The 18,562-nt window shown below is 42.4% G+C and overlaps 1 long non-coding RNA gene across 1 annotated transcript in view, besides 1 other annotated feature; it reads left to right on the forward strand.

The window, feature by feature from the left end:
• LOC107986931 (uncharacterized) overlaps positions 1-18,562 on the forward strand; it is a 290,196-nt gene that overhangs the window by 44,901 nt on the left and 226,733 nt on the right. The gene's annotated exons all lie outside the window — the stretch shown is intronic.
• Positions 16,731-17,713: an enhancer, noted in NCBI's record as "OCT4-NANOG hESC enhancer chr8:23836477-23837459 (GRCh37/hg19 assembly coordinates)". NCBI's record gives its function as "activates a minimal SCP1, AML or CMV promoter by ChIP-STARR-seq in primed H9 embryonic stem cells {active_cell/tissue: H9 hESC(primed)}" and the evidence as "EXISTENCE:reporter gene assay evidence [ECO:0000049][PMID:30033119]".

The following is an 18,562-nucleotide window of genomic DNA, read 5'->3' on the forward strand; positions in this document are numbered from 1 at the left end:
TTTTTCATGTGAAGACTGGACGGCTTGCAGATGGGAGTATCAAAAATAAGAACTCTGGGTCATGGCTTTGTGTGCAAAGGTCAAGGAGAATGTGTGATGGAAGAAACACAGCATGGTGTGACCGTAGCAATGTGACAAGTATTTCAGGACTTGAACCTCAGTTGTATGCATGTGACCTTGGACAAGGTACTTGCATTCTCTGAACTTTCTTCATGGAACAGAGATGATCATGCACACCTACTTCCTAGGATTGAGGTGAAGATCAATGAGGTAATGCATGAGGAAGACAGAGGAAAGGATAGAAAGTGATAATAATTATTCCCCATCCATATATTTACCACCTACTCTTCCAGTGATTTTTCTTTTTCACTTACTCTGTGCTGGGGTCCAGTGATAAGGCAGAGAGCAAGGCAGTCCTCCACAGCGTGGAGAAGGCCAAGTCTGCTGCAGCACACATGGGGACAAGCACAGCTCTCCTGCGGGCTTGGGTTGCAGCTACTTTGTATCTTGATGGCCTGAGACCAGATCTATGTTAGATGGCAGGTTTAGGAATATGGGCCATAAAAGAATCCTCCTCACTCAATTCATATGAGTTGGCTTCTGCATTTCATCGAGACTTCACCATCAAGACTCTTCTTGGGATGAGTGATGTAAAACAGGGAAGGAGGGAATAACTAATATATCAGGTTGTAGATGTCTGTTCACTTAGCCCTGATATTCCTACAAGACTTCTGTTAGCTTGCAGGGAAACCTTTATCTCTGGATTAAACTTCCAGTGTGCAGAGGGGCCTTATTTTGTACAATAGTTGTTTTTCTAAGGGGAAATGCAAAACAAAACAACAAAGATACAAACAAACCTGCCCAAAAATCTCATTTTAAACCTACGAGGACAGTTGTGGCTTATATTATAGGCTCAGGCAGCCCTAAGCACATGAACAGTCCTCCCTTAATTTATATAAAACTGGTAAAGTTAGTCTTGGATTTTCTCACAGTGAGAGATAGCCTTGTATTTAGTAACAAAAACTAACAGCTACCACCTGGGCTTGCTGGGGGCAGTTAGGAGCAGGTTATTCAGCTCTTACTTTAGATAAGCACTGGGTAAGAATGTCAGGTCTCCCCCTCCCCCCTTTTCCTGCTCCCCACATGCCACCCACCCCGGCTCTCCCAGATGTTTCAGATTCCAAGAATGTTTGCATTGATTAAACATTCTATTTTTTGCTTGTTTCCCCATCCTAGACCTTGAAAATGTTATCTCTACTTTTATTGCTTGAGATCAGGGTTACTTCTGGAAGGTGTGGCGTTCTGGGAAAAAAAAATCATATTCTGTGTTCTTCTCTCTCCTGGTTCTTTTCTTTCATATAAGTGGAAGCTAAAGTGACTTTAATGGCAGTTGTGATAGAAGGAGAGACTATCCAAAGTCTATCCTTGAAGGATTCTGCTAGAATGTTCCTTGAGTGATGGGTAAAGGAGTGTTTATGGGGCTTGTCTGCCATCTTTTTTTTTTTTTTTTTTTTTTAGAACCGGGCAGCCTTTGTTTAGTCATTAGGAGCATGGAGTTAATCCACGTGTGGGGAGGGGTGATATATGTGAGGAGGAAGAGAGGTGCGGATGGTTATATCGTCACATTCTGGGGAAGGAAATGAAAGGCAACAGTGCCAATGAACTGAATTTCGGAAAACAAGCCACAGACTAGAAATTAGTCCATCAGTTATTCAGTAGCCTAATTTTGATTCGAATGCACTTCACTGGTTTAGTACCCAGGTCATTGCCTTCAAGCTATGCTTGGGCTAGTGATCAGAGGCAACTAATATGGAATACATTGTGGACTTCAAGTTAGTAGACTTGGGATAAAACTAGATCTTGCCACTTCCCAACTCTACAGCCTTGGGCAAGTCAGTGAACCCTTCCGAACCTCAATTTCTTTATCTACTAAGACTTGGACTATAACATCTGCTTCATAGGACTGGCCTTTCCGTGTTCTTGTGAGCATTAAATGGAATAACATATGCAAAAATTTAAATCCATTGTTTGGCATCCAGTGGATGAATTGTACTGTCAGGAATTTTGAAGTTCATAGAGTGCCCTTTCCTGAGGAAGAGATGCTTTCATGGGGGCTTCTGTGCTCAAAATTGCTTTAAAATGACCCATACCATTCTAAAAGTGGATCTGATTTAGAGAATTCTGGGTCAAGGCTCTATTAAAATGCAAATTTTCATCAGTGGTTGTTCTTGACAAACTTTACTCTTTCACTATTTTGTGAAATAGGTGGGGTTTACAAAAATTGAAGGGTATGGTTTTAGCAATGATTTGGGGTGCTAATTCCCCCAATTTAAAGCATCAGATGGGGTCCATGACACTACTTAGGGACCTGTGAAAAGTGCAGAAACTCAGGCTCACCACAGACCTGTGGCATCAGAATATCTGAGGGTGGTGCTAGAAATCTACATTAAAAACCAAGCACCCTGGATGATTCTGTGCACAGCAAAGGCTGAGAGCCATTGCTTTAACTGTTATGGGTCATTTATTACTTAGGCTGACCATGGGATTTGAGCACAGATTTTGATGGTGTGGAAGGAAGTTGAGGAAGAAGAGGTAGCCAAGGGTTGGATGAGCGGTGAAGACAGAGATAGGAATAACTACAGACCAATTTTGCTGACTTCCTTGATGTGAGAACCATCCCTTGCCTCATTAGGAAGGATCACCTTCTAGAGAGTGAGACTAGGGCTGATTTCGAAGCACTTGAGCCTGGAGCGAACCAATAACTTGCTTTTTTTCCCCTTCATTTTTTGATTTTGCACAAGGTTCTGCAAAGTCTCAATGTTGTGCTTAGAGATCCATGGTGTGAGGACTGGAGAACGTACTCCAGCCATGAATTGTGCCAGCGGGAACTTATTGTTTTTTTTCCTCTCTGATTAGAGTAAGCGTAAATCACATGCTTGCTAGTAGCACAAAAAATAGGTGTGAATTAAGTTATTGTATTTCCTGAATTTAACTTTGCCTGCGTAATAATACTCAGCCCACATGAATAAAAGATGTGTTTTTCTCCCAGTGACACATCTGTGATTCCTCCCTCTACCTTCCCCACCCCAAACATCCTACAAGAAAAGGAAGAGAGCTTTAGCACCAAACACAAGGAGGTTTCACACAATTTAGCAGGCCATGGTGGAGTTCCTGGAATGGAGTGGAAAGCCCAAAATAGACATCCAGGAAGAAAAAAGGAAGCGGCTACAAAGACCTTACTTTAAGATTGCAGGACCCTGCTTTTATTGCCACAATTGAGTCACGTGAATTTTTGGTCTCTGCCACCAAGAGGGGTGTTTCCCATGGATTGATTCATGTTGCCTGTTTCCTCCCTGAAGGAAAAAAAGGAAACTACTCTGATGATCTAAGTAGTCCCTGCCATCAAAGTAGTAAGAACTCACTGATTTTAGGTTCACACAGAAGTATCTGTGAAATAATGCCAGGCTGAGAGATTCTGTTCCTGTAAAAAGGCATTCATTCGGCAAACACTTACTGAGTGCCCACTACATGCCAGGCAGTGTGCTAAGCAATGAGAGACAGAATCTAATAAGAAATTGCCCTTGTCATTAAGGAGGCTTTTGTCCACTGCAGAAGACGTAAAGTGAATGAGGAATGCCAGCAAAATATGAACCGAATGCTGTGGGAGCCCAAAAGACTGCTCTGATTTTCTCTGTGACCCTTCACATGGCTACAGCCCAGTGAAATTCAACAAAGACAACAGTTTCAAAGTTTAGTTGCTGTAGTGGGCTACATAGTGTTCTCCCCAAATTCGTGTCCACCTGGAGCCTCAGAATGTGACCTTCTTTGGAAATAGGATCTTTGCAGATGTAGCTGAGTTGAAATGAGGTCATGTTGAATCAGGGTGAGCTCCAATAAGAAGAGGAGAGGGTACACAGAGTCACATGGGGGGAGAAGACCGTGTGAAGTTGGAAGCAGAGATTGGAGTGGCCAGCAACCACCAGAATTCAGAAGAGAGGCAGGGAACAGATTCTCCCTCCTAGCCCCCAGAAGGAACCAACCCTGCTGATGCCTTGATTTCAGTCTTCTGGCCTCCAGAACTGAGAGGGAATGCATTTCTGCTCTCTTAAGCCACCCAGTGTCTGGTAGTTTGTGATGGCAGCTCTGGGAAATGAATAGAACTGCTTGCTACAGACTGCATGTTGTTGTCTGTCTCCTTGCTTTGCTCCTGAATCTGCTAAACACACACAGTGTTTCTCTTGGCATTTGAAAAACCTCCGAATACTGATAAAAGGGAGAAACAAACAGGAGACAGTTCAGTAATGCAAAAGTTTCCATGGTTACTTTCTTATTTGCCTTCTACCTTGGTGTTTTCTAATCAGGTTATTCTGGCTGGTTCTTAGCACTCCAAAACTGGTAATTCCTATGGCTGGAGTTATCTCTATCTCTGTTCTTACCTGCTGTCTTTCTTCACTTGAGCTATCTCCAACATCCTTTCAAAAAAAGCTTTGTCCCTTACAAAGCTCTCTAGCAACTAACCACATGGACTTGCTAACTCATGGTGCAATTGTAACTGTTGGCCTCACCTCCCTGAAAGAGAGATTAGCAGGAGGATAATGGCTATATGAATATGAGAATTTTAGCCTAATAGGCTCCCAGTTGTTCTTATGAATATAGGAATTTTCATGTTGGGAGAGGAGAATCTAATGAAATTTTCTGTTGTATTGCTATAGAAGTTGAGGCAAGTGTTGGTGGTTTTTGAAACATCTTGGTAACCAGAGCCAGAGTTGAGATTGAATAAAAGGTCTTCTGTCCACCTTTCTACGTGTTGGGCAGAGATGGAGTGGCCATCAATTCCAGTGGTTTAGGTACCAGAGGTTAAGAAGTTTTCTCTCAGGTTGGATTATCTGGGAAAAATTTTAAAAATTCGACTTCTCTTCCCTTCCCCCAGCCTCATTATTAAGTAGATGCCAGATGGTGACTTGTAGATTGTATTTCAGTTTCCCCATTCACTCAGAAATTTTATGACTTTGGTTTCATATCCACAGGGCAAAATGTTTCCAAAGAAGCTTGAAAATTGTTGAGGGGATTGAATGTCCCTCCAACAGCCCCTTGGGAGGCACTTAGGGGTAAACGTATCTTTTTAATCTATTTATTGTGCTGTGTCTATGGGGGCTACTGGATATATCATTTTGATAGAAAAAATAAGTTAAATTAGTCAAAGCAGTGGCCTGACTGAGCCAGACTCCCTCCATCCACCCCAAACATGACTGGTTGTGAAATTTGTGCTAGAAAGAAAACCCAGGATTATTAATGGGCTGGCCATCTAGAATATCTGTCATACTTTTGCTTTACAAACCGCTGCCCGCATCACTCTGTGAGCCAAGGAATAAGTCAACCAGACTTAAAATTATCACAGAAGCCACAGCTCTCATTCCCATTTCCAAGAATATGCCTGAGTGGAAGGACAGACAATCTCCTGAGTGGCTCTACCACTTATCAGAGATGTTGCTTTGTTACTTAGCCAGTCTGGCCTCAGTTTCCTCATCTGTAAAATGGTGGTCACTCAGTCCGCTTCTCAGGATTACCATGAGGACGAGAGATGAAGTTCATGAAGGAGTTTTTGGCGAAGAGTAAGAGCTCCACAATTGGGAACTATGTTTATTATTTTATTGATTGATTGATTGATTGATTGATTGAGGTGGAGTCTCACTCTGTCACCCAGGCTGGAGTGCAATGGCATGGTCTCAGCTCACTGCAACCTCTGCCTCCCAGGTTCAAGTGATTGTCCTGCCTCAGCCTCCAGAGTAGCAGGGATTACAGGCGCATGCCAGCATACCTGGCTAATTTTTGTGTTTTTAGTAGAGACAGGGTTTTACTATGTTGGACAGGCTGGTCTTGAACTCCTGACATTGTGGTCCACCTTCCTTGGCCTCCCAAAGTGCTGGGATTACAGGTGTCAGCCACCGTACCCGGCCTATGCTTATTATTTAAAAAAATCATTATGATTATTTGTGAGTCTTTGTGCATAGTCTTAACCATTATGAGCTTTTAAAATGGGAAGAAAGCCCTCCTAGGTTTATTAATTAACTGACTTAAGAGACAAAATGTCTTTGCGTTACCATCAGTCACATTTTGGCTGTGGTTCATCTGCTTATTAATGTGTCCTTTCTCACGGCCCCTAGGAAACAGGTCAGCTGAATGTCTTGTGGCCTCTGCCTGGTCTTAGGTATCCTGGTGCAGGGACTGGGTGGCGGAAGTAGGAAGAGGCAGTGAATGGCACCCCTCTTTGGGCAAAAGTGTTGTCACCGACTTAGCTGAGTAGTTCGGGTCCCAAAGTACTCTTGCCTTAAAAGGCCCACAGGAGACATCCGAAGGCACAGAAGAGCAGATCATATTAAAATTATGGGGACATCTGATTGTTCTGTCTAACTCCTCTGGGAGAGGCAGATTCTCCATCCTACAGCAATCACACTGATTTTTTTTTTTTTAAATTTAGAGATGTGGTCTTGCCCTGTTGCCCAGGCTGGAGTTCAGTGGCAGGATCATAGTTCACTGCATCCTGGAACTCCTGGCCTCAAGTGATCCTCCTACCTCAGCCTCCTGAGTAGCTAGGATCACAGGGGTGTGCCAACCTGCCTGACTAATTTTTTTATTTTTTTGTAGAGAAGAGGTCTTGCTATGTTTCCCAGGCTGGTCTTGAACCCCTGGCTTCAAGCAATCCTCCTGCCTCAGCCTCCCATAGCACTGGGAGTAGAGATGTGAGACACTGCGCCCAGCTGCTTCTCTTTTGGTAGCTGTTTTGATGCTGCTTGGTCTCCTGTCTTCCACTTTTGCATATCTCTGTCAAGACAAGGCACTATTTCCATTCCTACCTAAGAGGAATTATAGTTTTCCTCTCTGTGCTTGAAAGAAAGAATATGCTGGTGTGTTATTAGGCTTGCTAACGGGTCTGAAGATATCTAAGATTAAAGGCACACCATACTTAATATCTTTCTTAAGGAACTAATTTGGACAAAACACCAGGTATGTAATTATCAAAAAATTGGAGCCAGTGGAGAAGATGGAAGGAGTTATTATGTTTAAACAAATGAAGACATAGAAATGAAACTGTCACATCATCTACAGGCATGTAAGTTTCCATCTGACCTGCTGGGTAGCTGTTTATAATAGAAAGGACACAGCATTTGGAATCAGAACATTTGAATTGTGTTTCAACTCTGCTTGATACTAGTGTGATCGCATTGGGTAAGACTTGAGTCTCAGTGTCCGCATCTATAAATGGGGATAATAATGCCTGCCCTACCTGTCAGGCTTGTTGTAATGATCAAATGAGTTTAATGATGATCAAATGAGTTTAATGTGAAAACGCCTTGTACCAAATGCCATATAAGCATTATTATCAGGTTATAGCTCAATAAAAAGGAGCTTCACGTCCATTTATATCCACTCAGTGCATAGCTGATCCTGATCTCCAAGGAAATTAGAATCAGCTACTGACTTCATATAGAAAACTGAAGGAAAGCGTCTGCAAAACTCAAATCACTGGTTTATGGAAGCTTTTTGTCATTTCCAAATGAATCCGGGAAGAATTTAGCAGCTGAAGCAGTTTCGCTGCTTCATTTGCTTTCAAAACCTCAAGTTGTCTGGAAAATTACAGGGTTGGAGTGGCTAAGAAAGTGAAGCCACTGAGGAAGGCATTGTTGGAGAGGTCCTTGTATGGCCGGCACTGCTGAGTTCTGCTGCAGACACCACGAAGTCAGCTGTTTTCAACCAGAGAGCCGGGCTGGAGGAACTAAACTAACCAGGAGAGCCTTTCTGTGTTCAATTCCCAAAAGCCTGAGGAGGAAGTTAATTTGCTCAAGCTTGCTCAGGGACTTTCTGGTGCAGAGAGGAAAAAGGAAAAAAAAATCCTTCTTGAGTAGGAGGAGGTGGAAAGTCAGAATTTTCGAGGCTTTTACTGTACTGCTGGAACAAGAAAGAGCCAGTACGGGACAAGGAGAAACAAACATGTCCGTCCCTTGACTCAGTTTCTTGATCTCCTTCTTGGCAGGATACACGGCTTGTCTTGCGAACAGAGCCCTTGAAAGATCTAGCCAGCATGTGGGCTCATGTAGAAAGTACATACCAAGTGGTTTTCCTTCATTACATGATAGCGGTGGATTTAGGTCAGGACCGTGAGCTATGCCTTTCATAGTGTGCCCAGTGAAGTACTAATGCTGACATGATTTTTTAAGTTCACAATTGTTCCTGTGTCTGGGCAATGGTGTTAGAAAGTCAAAATGCTCTCAGTCATTAAAGAACAAGATTAGGCTCACCTGTGCAGGCAGAGAATTGGGGCTAGCTCATAGTGAGTAGATGACAAGTCCAAAATAATAATAATAGCTGCCTTTATCTGCTGTGTTCTATGCTTTATTCATTGTGTTTTGTGTGCATTTTTTTCTCATTTCATAATCACAACTAACTTATGAGAGAGGTAGTATCACCCCATTTCTCAGAGTAAAAAATAGTACTGGCAGGCCAGGCGCGGTGGCTCACGCCTGTAATCCCAGCACTTTGGGAGGCTGAGGCAGGTGGATCATGAGTCAGGAGATTGAGACCATCCTGGCTAACACGGTGAAACCCCGTCTTTACTAAAAATACAAAAAATTAGCCGGGTGTGGTGGTGGGCACCTGTAGTCCCAGCTACTCGGGAGGCTGAGGCAGGAGAATGGCGTGAACCTGAGAGGCGGAGCTGGCAGTGAGCCGAGATCGCGCCACTGCACTCCAGCCTGGGCGACAGAGCGAGACTCTGTCTCAAAAAAAAAAAAAAAAAAAAAAAAAACATGAAAATAGTACTGGCAGAGGTTCCATAACTAGCTCAAAGACGTACATTACTAGATGTCAGAGCTGAGAAAATAACTTTTATCTGAGGAATATCAGTCCTTTTAAATTATCAGGCCCAGAGGGACATTAAAATGAGACAACAATCACATCCTACTTCCCGCTTGAGCATCTCTCAAAATTGCTTGCTGTTGCCACAAGTAGCTATAAATTAACCCACTAAGGCCACACCAGACACTATAACCCACACCCTATAGCTTAACGATATATAGCCAACCCGCTAATGAATGTTATTTCTGTAGAACAATAAGAATTTCTGACAAATAGCTTTGTATCTACCCACTGTCTGTTCCCCTCTTTTGCTTTTAAAAATTCACTTGTAACTGCTGCTAATCAATGTATATTCTGAGCAACTTGAATCAGTGTTCCCAGATTACAGTCTTCAAGCTTGGCCCAAATAAGCTCTCCATTTATATTAATTTTTTTCTCAGCTTCTTCCTTTTAGGTCAATGTATCCAAGATTTAGACTCAAGTATGTCTACAGGTGACCTTGTACTGCCTTGACTAAACAAAAACTTGTTGAATTCCTCAATCCGTAGGGCACCATGAAAGGTGCTGTGCTGTCTTACTCCCAGGCTTCAGTGGGTTTTTCCCTCTCATAGGATAAACAAAAGGACACAAATAGCCGTGACATAAGACCTAGCATAGTAAGTGTCTGAAGGAGGAGCCATATTCAACAGATGCAGCAATAGGCAATTGATCAGTCAAAGCAGGTGCTGGCATGAAACCACCAGTCCCGATGTACCAGCAGGGACAAGTTAATCAGCAGTCCCAGCATAGGGGAAACATTTTGAAAGCCACGTTCATTACCATCCATCAAAGAGGATGAGGGTGAATTGTGGTTTTGAGGCCTCATCTAGAACATAAGTTAAACCTTTTGTAACTCAAATTATAACTCAACAAACATCAATGGCATTGATGTGGGACATTAGCTCCCCATCTTACCCTAAGCATCTCCCAGACACTTTAGTGTAATGCTTGTGTGTAATGCTTTGTGTGCAATGCTTTAGTGAAATGCTTGTGTAATGTTCTGTGGAATCTTCATCTCTGGACACCAAGTTGGCCAGGCACAGCTGTGTTTTGGTGACTGCAACCACTCCTCCAACCATGGACTCCCCACAGGGGCGGCTTCTCTCTCTTCACCTGTAAGAATTCCAACATCTTAAGAATAGGTCTGCTCACAAACTTTTTAGCTGTTTAGACTCTGTTATATCCTATTCTCAGAAATCTTTATTCTTTGTTGGCTCTCTGGGAGAATGCTAGCAACATGGTGTACAGTGTAACTCACCATCTTCTTTAACCAATTTTATATCTAGACCGATGGAAAAATGATCCCTCTGCCCCCAGACCACAAAGCATATGTTGAGTTCTTGCTGTTAAATCTGCTAGGTACCATGTCAGAGACCAAAGGAGAAGGCATGTTTCCTTGCTTGAAGAGTTTTTACCCTCCCTAGAGAGACAAGACTGATGTCCCCGTGGAGATCAGGGCATCAGAGAAGGAGTGCGACAGGCAGCCCTTTCCTTTCCTCATGCTGTGACCTTGCTCAAGCCACTCAACCTCATGCTGTGCCTTCATGTCCCCATCTGAAAAGAAAATAACTGACCTAGACGGTATTTTACTGCTATTCTAGTTCCACTTTTTTCAGATTTCATTAACTCATAAGAAAACAGTGGTAAACAATTCATGACCTACTGGGAGAATCAGACGTAGGTTCTGTGTAGACCTGGAAGGAAAATGTGCATAGTGAGTTGGAGGTGTTCATAGAAGAAGACTTGAAGGATAAGAAGGGACTCATTTGCATATTAAGGAACAATTAGGCTTGGATTTGCAATGTGTGGGAAGAATTTGGTCCATTTCTATCCAGGGTATAAAAGGATTAGTTTTGGGAAGTTACTATCTAAAGGAAATTGTAGTTAGTGTATGTAGTGGGGGAGTGGGTGGATTCAGGGTGCATTTTAGACAAATTTGCTATATTTCTGTCCTTAATTTGTTTTCCTAAAATCCAATTCCATTTCTTGAGCTTCTTTCTTGCCCTCTAAGTTAAAACAAGAAGTGGCAGCACATTTGTGTGTGTGTGTGTGTGTGTGTGTGTGTGTGTGCATTTCACCACTTCTTGTTCCTGAATTCTGAATTCTAAGGGAAAGAACAGCTTATATGTCTATTAATAGCTGTCTGCACACTTTCTTTCTGGAACCCCCCACTCCCAATATTCTTTCATTATCTAAAGGGCTCCCAGGTGTAAATAGTACCATGGTAGCTTGTCTTCAAAGATGACCCCCCTGCATAGAATCATGTGTCGTCACACAAATGCACCCTTGCATAACCCTTTCTTTTTGAATCCGACTGACCCTGAAACTCATTCCGTGGAGAGGTGGCAGAAGTGAAGCTGCCTGACTTCTAAGACTAAATCATAGAAATCCCTGATGTTTGGGCCTGAGTGTTGGTATGTTAACTCTTGGTAAACTCTCAGTTAGAAATTAGCCACGATATAAACAGGATAACAACTATCTTATCCTGAGATGTCATGCTGGGAGAAGCTGAGATGCTATGTGAAAAGATCCAGGGGCCCCAAAGGGGCCTGTAAGTGAAGGAACCACCTAAGAAGTGGATCCTCTAGTTCAGCTGATGTCATGTATATCAGAGACAAACCAACACAACCTGTCCCAAATTCCCGACTCACAAAAATTATGATCAAGCAAAAGTGGTTGCTTAAATCCCTAAGTTTTTGGGTGTAGTTTTAAAGCTGCAATAGACAGCTGGAAGAAGTACCACAAAGCTGTAATACTATTCCTAGAAGTGTTTGCAGCAACAATGTACAATTTTTTTTTAAGTAGTGGAAAGTAAGGTCGGAAAAAAAATTAAGGCCAGACCGTATCATTCTAAGACATTTTTATTTTATTCAATGAATAATGGAAAACTATTAAAGTTTTTGATTAGGATAATGACCTGTTGCAATAAAAATTTACCTAGAAGTCTGGCTGATGCCTTTGAGAGAGAGAAAAAATAAACAGAGCCAGGAAAATCAGTTAGGGAGTCCAGGAAAAGAGTAAGGAAGGTCTAAAATAGAAAAATAGGGATAGAAATGGAGAGGAGGGAGTGGGCAAAGTATGTTGCAGCATTATCATAGACAGGATTTGATAACTAACTAGATATGGGGTGCAAGGAAGCAGGGGAGAGTCAAAAAGGACCTCACGTTTGTAAAGCCTTGGTGACTTGAAATGACTGAGCCATTAATAGAACCTGGTGACTTCAGAGGAGGATTATGTTTGAAGGTGGGGGAGGGGAGGGAGGAGGGTGATAATAAATTCAGTTTTGTGATATTTTACTAGCAATCTATTGCTGACTAACAAATTTTCCCAAGACTAAGTGGCTAAAAGCAGCAAACATTTATTATATCGCATAGTCTGTCAGGGTCGGGCATCAGGAAGTGGCTTGGTTAGGTGGCTCTGGGTGTCTCAGGAGGTTTCAGTCAAGCTGTCGGCCCAGACTGCTGTTATCTAAAGATTTGACTGTGTCTGCGGGAGCTTCTTCTAAGCACACTCACATGGTTGTTGGCAAGAGGTTGCAGTTTCTGGCCACGTGGACGTCTCCATAGAACTGCTCACAATATGGCTTTTCTCAGGGCAAGGGATGCAAGAGAGGCAAAAAGAGAGAGGATGGGGCAGGAGGAGGAAGGAGAGGAAAAGGAGGAGAAAGAGGGAGGGAGGGAAGGAAGGAGGGAGGCAGAGCCGGAGCCCAGAAGAGAGCCATAGTTTTTTTAATAATCCAATTCTGAAGTGATATGCCAACACTCCTGCGGCATTCTATCTGTTAGAAGCAAGTCACTAAATCCAGCCCACACTTGACGGGAGGAAAATTAAGCTCCACCTCTCCTGAAGGGAGAATTGGACAGATTTTTAAAACCACCACAGATGTAAGGTTTAGCTGCTGAGAATCTCTCTGGGCAAGGACAGCCATGGACTTTAGGAAATGTGCAGATGGAACTCAGGATTTTGATGAGAGTGCATACCGGGGATTGAGAAATTATTCTTTGATTCATTTGACTTACAAATACTTATTGCACATCTCCAAAGTGCCAGGCACTCTGTTGAGAGAAGGGATCGGATGGTGAATAAGACAATTAAGGTGCCTGTCTTTATCGTGCTGACAGCCTAGGGGAAAATTCAGATAAGCAAACAGGAAGTTATACATAGAAAATTATAATACCTTGGCAATAGGAAATGGGGAGTTAGAGGGTGAGATTTAAAATGAGATCTGAAGGATGTGTAAGAATTAAGCAGATGAAAACAGGGTTAGAAGAGAGACATAGAGGACAGCGTGGGGATCGTGTGGAAGTCAGGAAAAAAGGATGCTGTCTAGGAGACAGGAGCTGTTTCCAACGTGGCTGCTCATGAACAGAATCTGGCCCAAAAGCTTATTTGATTTGGCCTGCATTCTGCTTTCTTTCTTTCAAAAAATGAAATCATTGCCAATATTTAAAAATCCTGGATTTCTGGTTTCTCTAGAAATTTGCATTCTCTTGTGGCATTTCCTGCTGGTGTTGAGATGGGGCTGTTCCCTTTCCAGGTCCGCCTGCCTCCCCACCCCTCTCAGTTGACGCCAATGCTGTTGCCCTTTACTATCTCATTTACATTGTTAGATGGGCCTATTTCCTTCATTCTGACTCTCTGCATTGCCCTCGTTCACATTTAAATGTGCAATTCTTGATTGCCTGTTTGGATATACCACCATTTGGTACACGTTTACATCATCCAAGATGATGGTAGATGTAGCATTAGGGGAAAAATTACCCTATCAAAGAGGGATTCTAGAAGGCACAGCTGAAAGGTCTGGAAGGGAAGGGAGGCTTGGCAGAGTGGTCAGATGGGTGGAAGCACTTGGCCATAAGAGGATGAAATGCTGGAGAGGACAGTGTTTGTGGGGCTGCCATTGAGGATGGCAGACAACAGGATGGGGAGACACTGTGGGCTACAATCTCTCCAAAAGAGTAAGTTCTAGCAATCCCCTGAAGGAGGATGTTAATAAGAATAGCCAATCATCATGGAGCACTTACTATACATCAGCTCCTGTTCTAAGCACTCTGGAATCATTATTTCCATTATTATCATAACAATGCTAGGAGAAAGTACTAGTACTATATCATTTTTTTGGCAGATGGGGAAACTGAGACAGAGAGAAATTGAGCCACTAAAATTAGATAATGGCAAAATCAGGATTTTATTCCAGGCCTTGTGACTCCAGAGCCTGAACTCTCACCCCAAAACTATGAGGGAGGAAATTTGAAAGCGGCATCACGACAGCATGAGCCAGCTGGGCGGGCTGGATGAACTGCGCTTGAAAATGGTTCCTTGTCTCCAGGATTTGCAGAGACACCAGCCTCTCTGGAAGGAGCTAACTTCATTCTGGATGACTTGTGTCTTCTTGATTTTAATTAGTTTGTTTTTTTAATTTTTGGGCAGGCTCCAGAGAGAGGCTCCCAGCCTGAGGCTGCTGGCAAGTAGATGCCTAAGGCCTGATTATTAGAGGACTGATGTCATGAGCTAGGGCAGTCAGGCAGTGTCGTGATAGTCCGATGCCTGGGGTCTCTAGGTCAGATGCCTGGTTTCTTGAGGCTGACCTAAGTACACAATGCAGTTCAGGATTTTTATAAATCTATATTTATTATTAGTCACAAGCACTCTCAGTGTCGGGCCCTGCCTTGAGCTTTGTCTGTTGGGGTCTTGTGTAGTCAAGCGTGGCGCAAAGGTACACAGCCAGCCCCGGCGTGTTTTGTGAGCTGTGACTAAGCTTCAGAATGTATCCTCGCTTGGGTCTTGCTAACATGACTGAAAATGTTCAATATTTACAGCCTACAGTTCTCTGCTTCCACCTCCATGTTTGTGATAACCTCGCTTTAGAATGAAAATCCTGAAATTCTTATAGCTAAAGCTCCCTCTTTCTTAGACGACGTCTATCTGAGAAGGGATAATTGAATTCACAGAAGTAGATAACTTGAGCTGTAAACATGGTTTATCAATTCAAATCTTTTCAATATGGTTTGGTTTATCTCTTGGCCTGTCTTGAGTCCCGGGGACCCCCTGAGGAAAAAACATAAACCCTTCCGGCTCCTGGTTTTGATAATTACCCTTAGCATCGGCTGCCAGGATTTCTTCCTAGCAGTATAGTGCCAGTTTTCCCTCTGGTTTTTCCTTCTTTTGCTGAATCAGAATAAGGCTCAGCATAGAAGCCCTCTGTCTTGCAACATTTGCCTAACATGTGCATTTCAGACTAACCGACAGCAATGTTGCTGTGGCAGTTTGGACTTCCTAGAAATAGCATTTTCATAGTTGGAGGCATGTTAAAATAATAAAAGTAGGCTGTCATCCCTGGGTTATGGGTGAAAGAGCTATTTATAGATGAGCAAAAAATCCCCAATGTGATAACTTACATTATTGTACAAGGACAATGGAAAATTCTTCAGAAGACAGATAGTATAAAAGGGATTTAAAATTAACCTCGTCATGTTTTATTCATCAAGACCTTAAGTCGACTTATTTTTTTATGAAGGCCATATAATTTTGATTCCTTTTACCTCTCTTTTTAAAAATAAAACAGCAAGCCATTGAAATAATTATACAAGGTCACAAACTGTGGTCCTACTGGCGTGTCTTGCCTGAAGACCGATTTGTTTTGCTCAATAAATATTTTATAAAATTTTAGTTTTTAAGTCCTTTAGCCTGGGCTCGTTCTTTCTAGTTTATATAGTCTGCAGTGTGCTCTATGGCAGCACTGTGGGCCGCTTTGGATGCCCGATGAGTATTACCTTGTGCAGATCATGTTTCTTCTATGCCCTCGTCTTTGTGCATATTGTGTCCTCAACTACTGTATCTTTCTTAACCCATTCTTTGAATGCAAATCTTACATATCTCATACACTACTTCCAAGAAGACTTCTTAGGTTATTTTTGTCCATGGCTATCTTTTGCCTTTTTTTTTTTTTTTTTTTTTTTTAAGATGGGGTCTCCCTCTGTTGCCCAGGCTGGAGTGCAGTGGCGCAATTCCAGCTCACTGCAACCTCTGCTTCCTTGGCTCAAATGATCCTTCTGCCTCAGCCTCCTGAGCAGCTGGGACTACAATCTCACACCACCACACCCAGCTAATCTTTGTATTTAGGGGCTTTGCTTTGTGGCTAGGGCTGGTCTCAAACTCCTGGACTCAAGTGATCCTCCCCACTGGGACTCCTGAAGTGCTGCGATTACAGGTGTGAGCCACTGCGCCTGGCCACTCTCTTGCCTTCTTAATTCTCAACACATGTAATTCTCAAATGTTAGGGATCAGGTAGAGGAAATGTGATTATTGAAATGTGTTATAATAATGTTATAATGATACTTAAGATCCTTGAGGACAGGTACCATGACATCTAATTGAAAATGCACACCTCAGTGTTGGCCACAGCTTACACATTGTAGTTCTTTTGGATTGCATAGCATTTCAGATTTACTTGGTTCATTTGGCACTTCAAATAATGAATAATTAGATGTTGGAAAGTAAAAAAAGAAAAAAAGGAAGGAAGAAGAAAAAGAAAGAAGGAGAAAGGGGGAGAAGAGAGGAAAGAATTTGGAGCAATATAATTCATAGAGAATCACCAAGATTAAAATCTGATCAGATCTTAAAGAACACTTAGGGACCCTCCCTCAGATTATGAGAAAATAGAGACATAGAGAGTGAGGTGACTAGTTGAAAGTCACACTGCTAGTTAATAGAAGCATGAAACTAGTAATGTAGTCTGCCAGTTTCCACTCCAGTGTCATTTCTCTCTTCCTCCTTCCCTCTGTGTATAAGTGTGTGTGCATATGTCTGTGTGTGTATGCACCCCCACACACATTGTTATATATAGAGTATGTTTTGGAAGTCTCTCTAACAAAAACAAAAGCCCACTGACCCAGCATCAGTCTTTTTGTGTTGATGGAACAGGATTAATTGAAGCTGTAACATTAGGAATATATAGTTAATTTGATTGAGAAGGTTAGGGAATCCAGCGATACGTTTTAGAAAAGTTTTCATCTGTAATGGTTAAACAATTGTTGGTGCTTTAATGTGTCAGAAACCTTCAGTTAGCTAGAAAGCTTGACTGTCCAAACCATCTCCTTCCACCAGGTTTACAGATAGTTAAGCTTGGATTGCATTTCAATTAGTTTGCTAATGTGAAGCCTCAGCCTCTCTGAGTCTTTGGAGCAAGAGAGAGAGGCTCCAGGTGGAAGGAGTGTCCTTGCAGACGGTTTCTCTTGCTTTCCTGCCCTTCGTGTGGTGGGGGATTGATATGCAGCTGTTCTCCAGATGCCAGCTCTTCCCCAGAAGCAGCTGCGTCTCAGCAGGGGCCCCTTTTATCAATGTGACAACCTGCTGAGGGCTTTGGAACTTTTCCAGATGTAAGGCATGTTGAGGCTATAAAACATAATCATTAGCATTATTTCCATTTTCGTTTTAGAGTCTCAGCTGTTAAAAGTTTCTTGTACAGATTTAGGGCTTAATTGTTCTCATTTTTCTTCATAGGTAGCTTCTTTTAGACAGCATGGGATCTTCCCTTGGAGCTGATTTTCCTAAAAAGAAAGAAAGAATAGCTATGAGTAATGTTCCTTGCTTCTGGCTGGCTGGGAAGGCTGAGATTAGAGAGCAGTCTTTTCCCAGCTGCAGTTATATGAGTGTCTGTGAGCTAAACATAATCGTCCATGGCTTTCTTTTGCTGAATCACAGGCTTTCTTTTGCTGAATTCACTTGGAATCAATTTCTTCTTTCTTTTTTTTTTTCTTTTCTACCCTCCCTTTCCTTTGTGAACACAGCTCTTATCTTTCATATAGCCTGGAGAGGATCTCTTCTTACTTCATCCTTCTTGGAATCTATGCGCTATTCAAGAGGGGCAATATAATTTTTTTTTTTTTGGCGGGGGAGGGTGTTACTTGAAGATTAACAAGCTAACATTACTTTGCGTGAAAAAAATGATTTTATACTGAGGGTGGAGAAAATTGGAAATAGAGAACTTGAAGGTTTCTGAAAATATTAATCAAAGAAACAGATAAAATAATGACCTTGAATAAATTTGCCCACAGAAATTCATCTTATTGGTTTATATTGTAGTCACTTTGTCTTGAAAACCCAATTCCTCAGTGCACAGTCTCGGAATCACACTGAGTTTCGATGACAGGATTAGAAATACTCACACAACTCCATGCTGGTCGTCGTAGGCAGGCGATTTATGGCATCAGCGGTAAGCATCTCATGCCAGGAGCTGCTGAGAAGGATTTGTTCACACAGGGAACCCAATAATTGGCCAGAGGAGAGAGGCTCATGCATACTGATATCTAAATACCCTGCAATGTTTTACAAGTCTTGAATTAGACATTCAGAAGGTCCTTGTCAGCTTCCTAGCCTTCAGAAAGCTGGACAGGCAGGCCCCCAAGGGACTTGGGCTGCAGCCCTCTCTGGAGGCTGGGTGTGGGGCTAGGTGGATTCCTGAGATCCACAAGCCTGTCTTCTCCAGTGAGCTCCAGTGTCTGCGAAGAAAGATGCACAGGTTAGACGGAGGGTGCAGGACCTTCAATCAGAAATCCCTTCTTTTGCTTAATAGCATAAAACAGTATGTGTAGTAAGATTCTGTTTTAAGAATACACACACACACATACACACACCGCTATCTATCATCTCTTTATCTAAAAATGTGTAC

This window comes from Homo sapiens, chromosome 8 (genome assembly GCF_000001405.40).
Source record: "Homo sapiens chromosome 8, GRCh38.p14 Primary Assembly".
Classification (NCBI taxonomy): domain Eukaryota; kingdom Metazoa; phylum Chordata; class Mammalia; order Primates; family Hominidae; genus Homo; species Homo sapiens.